Source organism: Homo sapiens, chromosome 7, assembly GCF_000001405.40.
Source record: "Homo sapiens chromosome 7, GRCh38.p14 Primary Assembly".
Lineage (NCBI taxonomy): Eukaryota > Metazoa > Chordata > Mammalia > Primates > Hominidae > Homo > Homo sapiens.
In genome coordinates this window covers 80,206,919-80,215,778 of record NC_000007.14, presented here as the reverse complement: position 1 = coordinate 80,215,778, position 8,860 = coordinate 80,206,919, and the positions used below count along the sequence as shown (strand labels likewise).

The window sequence follows — 8,860 nt, the reverse complement described above, 5'->3', positions numbered from 1 at the left end:
CTATCACTTAAAAACTTTTTCCTCCTCCTAGAAATAACTATTTCAGTTTTTGTTATATTGCTTTATAGAGTCTTAAATTCTTTTTCAGTGCTGAATCTCCTAAACTAGAATGTGAACTCTTCAAGAGTAAATATCATACCCCACAAGCCTCATACTCCTTTTATATCTTATAGAATCCAGTGTAATACAATGTGACAAATGCCCATAGGAATGTTGTGTAATGTGCTATGACAGCATAGATTATGAGATTTTTATTAGGGATAAAAAGGTACTAAAGCTATCGTCTTTAAGTTTACATTTTAACTCTTTTATATCACTAGAAATCACATACTTTTAAAAATCAAATTTTATTAAATCATAAGTTTCGTTCTCCAAAATTTTAAAGCAATCAACAGCATCTTGTTGGCCCACAGAAGCTAATGCAACTGCTAAATTAAACTATGCTTCAGCCAAACAGCTTACATTGAGTGCCTAGCTCAATTTGCTCTATATATCCTAGGCAGCTAGCTAGATTACCCTAAAAGCTACAACACATATGAATGAACATTCTTCATTCTGATTTTAAGTCTTAAGAAACAAATGGCAAAGCAGGGACAGGAGAGCAAATATGATAGATTGTTTTTTAATGTGTGATAGAATTGTCCTGAACAAAGGTAAGTATAGGTGATAACCAGGTTCAAAAATGAAGAACTGGGAGGCTGATGACACAATCAAAAGGGAAAGAGAAGAGATCTGAGTGTAAACAAGAAAAAGAGTTCTGTTTGAGCTTCAGGTGCTAACCAACCAACCAACCGACCAACCCAACCAACCAAACAACAACAAAACATGTATGTTCAAGCAGTTGCTAATGTAAATCTAAGGCTCCAGAGAGAAATTAGGGCTGACCACAAAATTTAACCTATTGAGAATAGATACGACTATGAAAGGATAAGAGAGCTAAGATGACGTGACTGCAGATGAAACTGGTGAAGTGGCAACATACAGGAAAAAGAAGAGGAGGAGAAGGGTAACACAGGAGCAGACAGACAGGAGATAAATCAAGTGAGTTGTTTAGGGGCTACACAGGGTTCTTCCACAGCCACAGGAAATTGAGAGTTGCGGCTGAAGCAAGAAGCAACTGAATCAATACTTTGGGCATGCCATGGAGATCTTAAACAATAATCTTAACTCTGGGGATGTGAAAGAATTATGTAATATTCTTTTTGTGCAAAGATTCTGAAGTCAGGTATTCTTATTAACTTAAGCAAAACACAAGCAAAAATTCCTAAACACACTGTCTACTTGGCAAGGAAAGAGCTAACAAGTATATTCTTAGTTGCTCTAAAATCCCCGTAGGTATACAATATTTATGGATTCACTTGGGGAATCTGGTACTATGAATTAGTACAAAATGGCTACATCATAGAATATGATAAAAATAAACTGAAAAATATATTCAAATAAGGGAAAAATTAAGCCATCTTGACTCTGGGTAGCTTATTTCTAATAAGCACAAAAAAATGTTGCTGAATACAGTGATTTAGGACTTTGACTTTCAAAAAGAAAGCAAAGTTTTAAAGTAAGTAAATGTGTGAAATTAGTTTGAACTGAAGTGTAATTTCACCGTACACAAAAAGAGCTATAAGTAACATGATTATATTTACCAAAGAACCCTCCCCTTTTGGTTCCACTGAATGTTTAATTAAATGTAGCCTAGTCGTTCATGGTCTAGGAGCAGGAGGACAATGGACTTGGGTCTGGAACTGGACTCTGGCTTCAGGAAGCCCCGGTATTCTCATTTGTATGGGTAGGGATACCTGAGCACTGACATCACAGGGTTGTCTTAACATTTCCTGTAAAATGGCAGTGAATACTCATCGTACAATTTACTCAACACAAGACTGAGGAAAATTCTGTTTATAAAAAAACAAATTCTTGAGACTTTTAAAAAAAAAAACAGGAAGAGTGGGGTGAGGGTAAATAACTAAACTCTTCAAACTATCTAGATTTGGAGATTACATAAACCAGTGGTAATCAAACTCCCTGTTTTTTTAAGGCATACTGAATGCTCTTCACTAAAGTAAAACTTTACTCAATACATAAACCAGATGAAAGCTGAGTTACTCTGCTTTAATGAAAAAGTTATAAGGTGGTGGGTGCAGGGGGCAGTAATTAGCTCTGTTCCCTCTCCCATTTCCGCCTTCAACAGCAACCCAGGAGGTGCTCCAAGGAACTAAATTAAACTAAAACTAATGTTTTAGCCCAACTCCTGACTTCACAGATGGAATACTGAGACCTAGGTGAACTAACTGCCTTGTTCAAGATCAAAGAGCTAATTATGGAAAAGTCAGGACTGTACTTCAGGTCTACTTTCCTCACTCCAGGGAATTTTCCATCATAGTAAAATTAAAGCACTATTAACAGTCTCATTACCAAAGTTTTGGCTTCTTGTGAAACCTTCCCTGCCCTTCTGGAAGAGTTAGCTGCCTCAATGATCCTGTCTTCATTTCCCCTTACTATAATGTTCATGTTCCTTATTTTAGCAGTAGGTTGCACTGCTATTGCCTGTTGTTTAAGTATGTCTGTCTTTCAGATTAGATGGTGGGCAGAGACATGTCTTATTTATTGTACATCACACAGTACCTGATATGAAATCTGTTAACTGGATTTAAAAAATAGTATTTTAACTTGGAGTCATCACTAAAAATTATCTAACTGCTTTTCCATAAAATGAATACATTATTTTCAGTAATTTCATCTACATCTTAAGGAAATTTTTATGCTCAACTGCAGTTTGATAAATAATACCCCTTAAAGGTCTAAGAATCACTAAGCCAAGAGATTTAAATTAACAACTGAATTCTTGCCTTAGGGGAAGTTTCACTTAGAAATATGTAACTTGACAAGTTATTCCCAGAAAAGGAAAATACCTGCATATTCTGGATAGCATATAGTGAGAGGGCTCTTTTTGATTTTTTCTTCAAAGAGATCCTTCTTGTTTAGAAAAAGTATAATGGATGTATCTGTAAACCACTTGTTGTTACATATGCTGTCAAACAATTTCATGCTTTCATGCATTCGGTTCTGTAATAGAAAAAAATAAAACCAATCGTCACTAACAGCAAGGATTTTTGAGGACTATTTTAAAAAATAAAAGGTGTTGTAATAAAACAGAGTTTAGTGATTGAAAAATACGTATCACAAAAATACATTTCTGCCATTTCAGAACACACTTTCACTTTAGGTAAGAGAAGTGTCTAATCATCTTTCACCACTTTTTGCATTCAACTTTTACTTGCCAAGTGCCCACTATATGTCATGCTCTGTGCCAGGGAATATCCTGCTACAGGACATTATAATCTAGGGATGTGAAGTGTGAACATGTGAAAAGAAATGACATTGTCATAGAGTTCATTTCATCTAAATTTCCATTAGAAGATAAATAGAGGTTTTTAAAGATTAATAACTTAAATTGAACAAGCTAAGACCCAATTAGCCCAATACTCTAAATATTATAATAAATATAAATACTGGAAGGACACTTCCAATTCCTGTTTCTTGACCTTCCAGGATCTGTGCTCATCAAAGAGGGCACTGATACATTTTATAGTGCTGAAATGAAAGAAATGAACATGTGGTGTTGCACTGCACCTACTACACTATAATTTCATATACTTGATTTTAAAAATACAATCGTCTCTCGGTATACTCAGGGGGATTAGTACAAAGACCTCCAAGGGTACCAAAATGTGCATACACTCAAGTCCAGCAGGCAGTTCTGTGGAACCCACACATAGGAAAAAGTGGCTTTCTGTATACTCAGGTTTTGCATCCCATGAATGTGCTTGGTTGAAAAAAATTTTCATATATGTGGACCCATGCAGCTTAAACCCGTTGTTCAAGGGTCAACTGAACAAAACCGACATTTCTACTTTTTCCCCCACTTTGTAATAAAGTTAACTTAAAATGACAAAGTTTTACATTTCTATTTAAAAACATTTCCCCCATATTAATGGTACACTGAAACCTATCTGAAAATTACAGGGCAGCAACAAAGCATAACATATATTAAAGATTTACCGGCTGGGTGCGGTGGCTCAGGCCTGTAATCCCAGCACTTTGGGAGGCCGAGATGGGTGGCTCATCTGAGGTCAGGAGTTTCTGACCAACCTGGCCAACATGGTGAAACCCCATTTCTACTAAAAATACAAAAATCAGCTGGGTGTGGTGGCACGTGCCTGTAATCCCAGCTACTTGGGAGGCTGAGGCAGGAGAACTGGCTTGAACCTGGGAGGTGGAGGTTGCAGTGAGCAGAGATGGTGCCACTGCACTCCAGTCTGGCAACAGGGCGAGACTCCGTCTCAAAAAAAAAAAAAAAAAGATTTACTAAACTAACAGAAGTAACAAATTAAGAAAAGGGAATCTTGGACTACTATGTAACTATATTTCCATGTGCTATGTTGATATTAGATACAGAAATGCATAGTTAAGCTTACAGGCTTGAGGTGAGATTGACTCTCCATGTTTTCCTTTTCCTCAAGATCCACCTGTGCTTCTCTAGTATATCTCTCTTTTATCAAATAGAAAAGTTAGAGGAAAGACCCTGTACTTTCAAATTGTTATAGACATTAGAAAGAAATTCTTGGCAACACCTTCAGCTCTTCATGTTTCAAGCTCAACTCTTAAAGTAGTTCTACTTGCCATTTCTTCATCTTCAGCTAGAACCAGGTCGTAGTCACTCAGTGCTACACAGAAGATGATCGCCGTCACTCCTTCGAAGCAATGAATCCACTTCTTCCGCTCAGATCTCTGACCTCCCACATCAAACATTCTGTTAAGAGGAGAAATGAGTTAACATCACATTAAATGTTCAAAAAGCTCTGAGAAGTTCTTTAATGCTAACAAAAAAAGCTCTGAATAGTTGTGGAAATGTCTGATGAAAAGGAAGGAGAGAAGGACTTTATGGGAGAAAAAAATGTCACAAACTGGACTTCTCAAAAGGGGAAAAAAACCTGCTAGTTTTTAAAATTTTTGATTGAAGGGAGGGTATCTCTAAAAAAAAAAAAAAAAGCAAAAACAAAAATAACCTCAAAAAAACGAGACATTAACACACATGAGAACACTTAGAACATTAAAGCAAATACAAATGAATGGACTGCACTATGTGTAAACACTGAGAAGTCACATGAAGCAACTGGGGAATGCAGAGATCAAAGAGTAAATATTCCATTTGCCACAGTCACGGAACATTGAAGGCAGAGAACAGAGACCCCTCCTCCTACTAAAACATGTCGTTTTAACTCAGAAATAATAAGCAAGGCTTTGATGTAAAGAAGAAACCATTTCAGGTAAGAAAATGTAGGGCAAGCAAATGAAATTCAGATAGGGTAGGTTTGCATAAAAAGTAAAATCATGATACATTACAAAATGAGAGAACTGAAATATGAAATAAATGAGGGATCCTACTGAATGGCCTTAAAATTTAGAATGAAAAAAATTCAATTTTTATACAAGAGTGAACCACTATAGGTTAGTGAACAAAGTAGTAGCAAAATCAAACAATATAAAGACAATAGTCTATTCCTTTTCTCTTATAAGACTTTATAAAGTTAAGCAAAAGTTAAAATTTGCATAGACTACATTATGCAACCTAGAAATAACCACTTATATAATGAAAACACTATGCGAACTGGTACATTTTTAAAGGCTCCATTTATCTAGATGGTGCACTAATTAAAATAGTCCCTATTTAATTCCCAGGCAAAAAGAATTTTCCCTACAGAGCAGTACTGGCCTATAAACCAAATTTGAGTACATCAACTAGTATTGTTACTTTTATGATCACTTAAGTGGGCTTCTTCATTCTTTTGGCTTAGCTGGTACCATTGTTCATTAAATTCAGGTAAGCTATATAACAAAATGTTTCTACCACAAACTAAATCACAGAGTTAAGATGTAAAAAACATAGCTGGTAATAACGATCAAACAAGAACAAAATAAATGACAGTAAATTAAAATGATATAAATTGGGTTACCATTTGCTAAAATGCCCAGGAACACAATTTGAAAATAACTTTACTGAAAAGATAGCATATCTCAGATAACTTCTCTGATTAGATGTCACACATCCTCTGTCCATCCAATAACAGATGTCAATAACAACCCAAATGACCCTAGCCCACATTTCCTCTCTGTGATGGTATAGTTTTGTGTGTTAACTTGGCTATGCCATCATACATTTATCTAGGTGTTATTTAATGAAACACTTATTTAGATGTTGCTGTATTTTATAGATATGATTAACATCTGTAATCAGTTAACTTTAAGTAATGGAGACTATCCTTAATAATACAACAGCCCTCAATCACTCTACAGGCTAAAACTGGCAAAAACTGAGGTTTCCCAGAAGAAAATGTAATTCTTCCTCCACAATGTTATGACAATTCATGTCCAAGCTTGCCAGCCTACCCTACAAACTTCGGACTTGTTAGCCTTCATAATCCCATAAACCAATTCCTTGAAATAAACATAACCTACTGGATCTGCTTTTCTGGTGAATACTGATGATACAACTTTAGTGCAGAGAATGAGGTGCTACTCTAACAAATACCTAAAAACATGGAAGTGACTTTGGAATTGGGTAATATGTAGGAGGTAGAAGAATATTTAAGCATTTGACAGAAAATAAAACTACACTATCTTGAAGAGATTGCTGGTAGAAATAGGGAGATTAAAGACAATTCTGCTAAGAGCTGAGATGGAAATAAAGCTGGAAAGAACCTTCTGTTGTCTTAGAGAATACATGTATCATTGTGGACAGAATGTTGTAGATATACAAACGTTAAAGGAGCTTTTAATGAGGTCTCAGAAGGAAATGAAAACATGTTATTATACACTACAGAGAAGACAGTCCTTGTTATAAAGTGGCAAACAGCTGGCTGAACTGTGTGTTCCAGCGCTGGGTGGAAGGTGCAACTTCTAAGCAATGAACTTGGATATTTAGCTGAGGAAAACTGCAAGCAAAGTGTAGAAGGCTGCAGTTTCCTGCTTGCTGCTTATAGTAAAATGAGAGTGGAAGAGATAAACTGAGGAATGAACTATTAAGCCAAATGGAACCAGACGCACAGGGAAGGAGGACATGTGATGACAGGTGGAGAATGGTCATGGTCATAAACAAAGAACTCAGAGTCTAAGCTAGTGGTTCTCAAACTTTGATGTGATTCAGAATGTTAGGAGTCAGATGTTACTAGCTTGGGGGACCATCCTTTTGAGGATCAATTAATCCCCAAGTCAATTAATCCAGAAGCAACAATGACAGAGAACTGATATTACAAATGATCAAACTGCTTAAGTTTGTTGGAATTCAGAGAGAGCTAGATGAAGATAACTAGAAGAAACACTAATTTTTATCACTGCTTTCATTTTCCATATAATGGTAGCTAAAAATGTACAAGCATTATTCATTGCTCTACACTTATATTAGAAGTATCTTCATTATTTTATATACTGTTAAGTTCTGAACTTCTATTTAAAAAGAGCAAAAATATGGTATTTTCTCCTTCATATAAAAAGATAAGAGTTTAAACCAACATCACATAGGAAATGAATTTGAGTTTTCTTAGGGATTCTGAAGGGTGGGGTGGAAGGAGATGTTGGACATGCTGAGAAGTGATGATTTATGCCTTAGACTAGCATCTAATACCACTGTCACCAAAACTAACTGGTACAAAGCTAGCTAACCATATATGGATATCAAACTCATAAACTGGATGTTGCATTCCCAAATGCATAACGCATTTATACTACTATAGAAATGAAATAGAAATTTATCTCATATTATGATAATTTTAGGATAGAAAGAATGCTTTATATCTGACAAAAAAAAGTAAAACACAGTTGCTGATTCTTTAATTAAAGCAAAATGATCCACATAGACACTGGCCATAAATGCCTAATCACAGGGATAATATGAATTCTTAAATTATGATGCCCTATTGCCTCATTTTGAATTTGTTAATACCATTTTTTAATGTGAAACTGAATTTTACTCAGCAGTTAAAATTAAACAGAATTACAACATGAAGAGCACGAAAAAAACCACAAAATGATGACCACACTCAAGAGTTCCCAGTAGAATTATTCTAAATGCATTTCTGCTCTCATTCATCTGAGGCTCATGTAACCTATAAAAAGCAAAGTTGAAACTATATGCTAGTAATGATAGTAATTTAACAGAACTCAAAATCCAAAATAAGACAAAGTTTATCTGAGGTTCCTGACAAACGTGTGTTTATCTTTAAGTCACCAAATAAAAACAGCAACTAAATACATCAACCTCAACCAAGAAGCCTAAATGGAGTATGATAAATGAACCTCCTGGAAGGATAATGTTGAGAGTCAACTTTACTGAATCCCAGTATTTGCTGGATGTTGAAATGACAAGTTTGAAAAACCTAGGCTGGAAGTGAAAACTATGGTCCTGAAATAAATGTTTAAGAGTGCACCTAACCAAGATGAAAAGTGAATTTTATATAGTCAGACTGCCTTAAGTACCAAATAATCGATTTAATATTTGCCTCTGCCACTTATTACTATGTATACAGTTCTCACTTTTACAACATTTTTCATAGGCAATAACTCATTTTATTTTTAAGCCTCTAACACAGAGCAAAACTGTAATAGCCTGTTAAGAAACTTAACCAAGTTTACCCAACTACTTATTAGGGGAACCTAAGTCTAGAATCTTTACTTGTTAACTCCAACTCCACACATTTTCTTCTCAGACAATATTGGTTAGAAATACAGTAGCTCCCCCTTACTCCTGGTTTCACTCTCTGCAGTTTCAGTTACCTGTGGTCAACCAAGGTCCAAAAATATTACA

General features: G+C 35.4%; 1 protein-coding gene across 2 annotated transcripts in view; it reads right to left on the bottom strand.

The window, feature by feature from the left end:
• The window catches only part of GNAI1 (G protein subunit alpha i1), a 91,351-nt gene that overhangs the window by 10,403 nt on the left and 72,088 nt on the right, over nucleotides 1-8,860 (bottom strand). For both annotated transcript variants that reach the window (NM_002069.6, NM_001256414.2), the window contains exons 6-7: nucleotides 4,681-4,810; nucleotides 2,910-3,063 (exon numbers count right to left, since the gene is read on the bottom strand). In NM_002069.6, the coding sequence (NP_002060.4) occupies nucleotides 2,910-3,063; nucleotides 4,681-4,810 (284 nt within the window). The remainder of the gene's footprint in view (nucleotides 1-2,909; nucleotides 3,064-4,680; nucleotides 4,811-8,860) is intronic.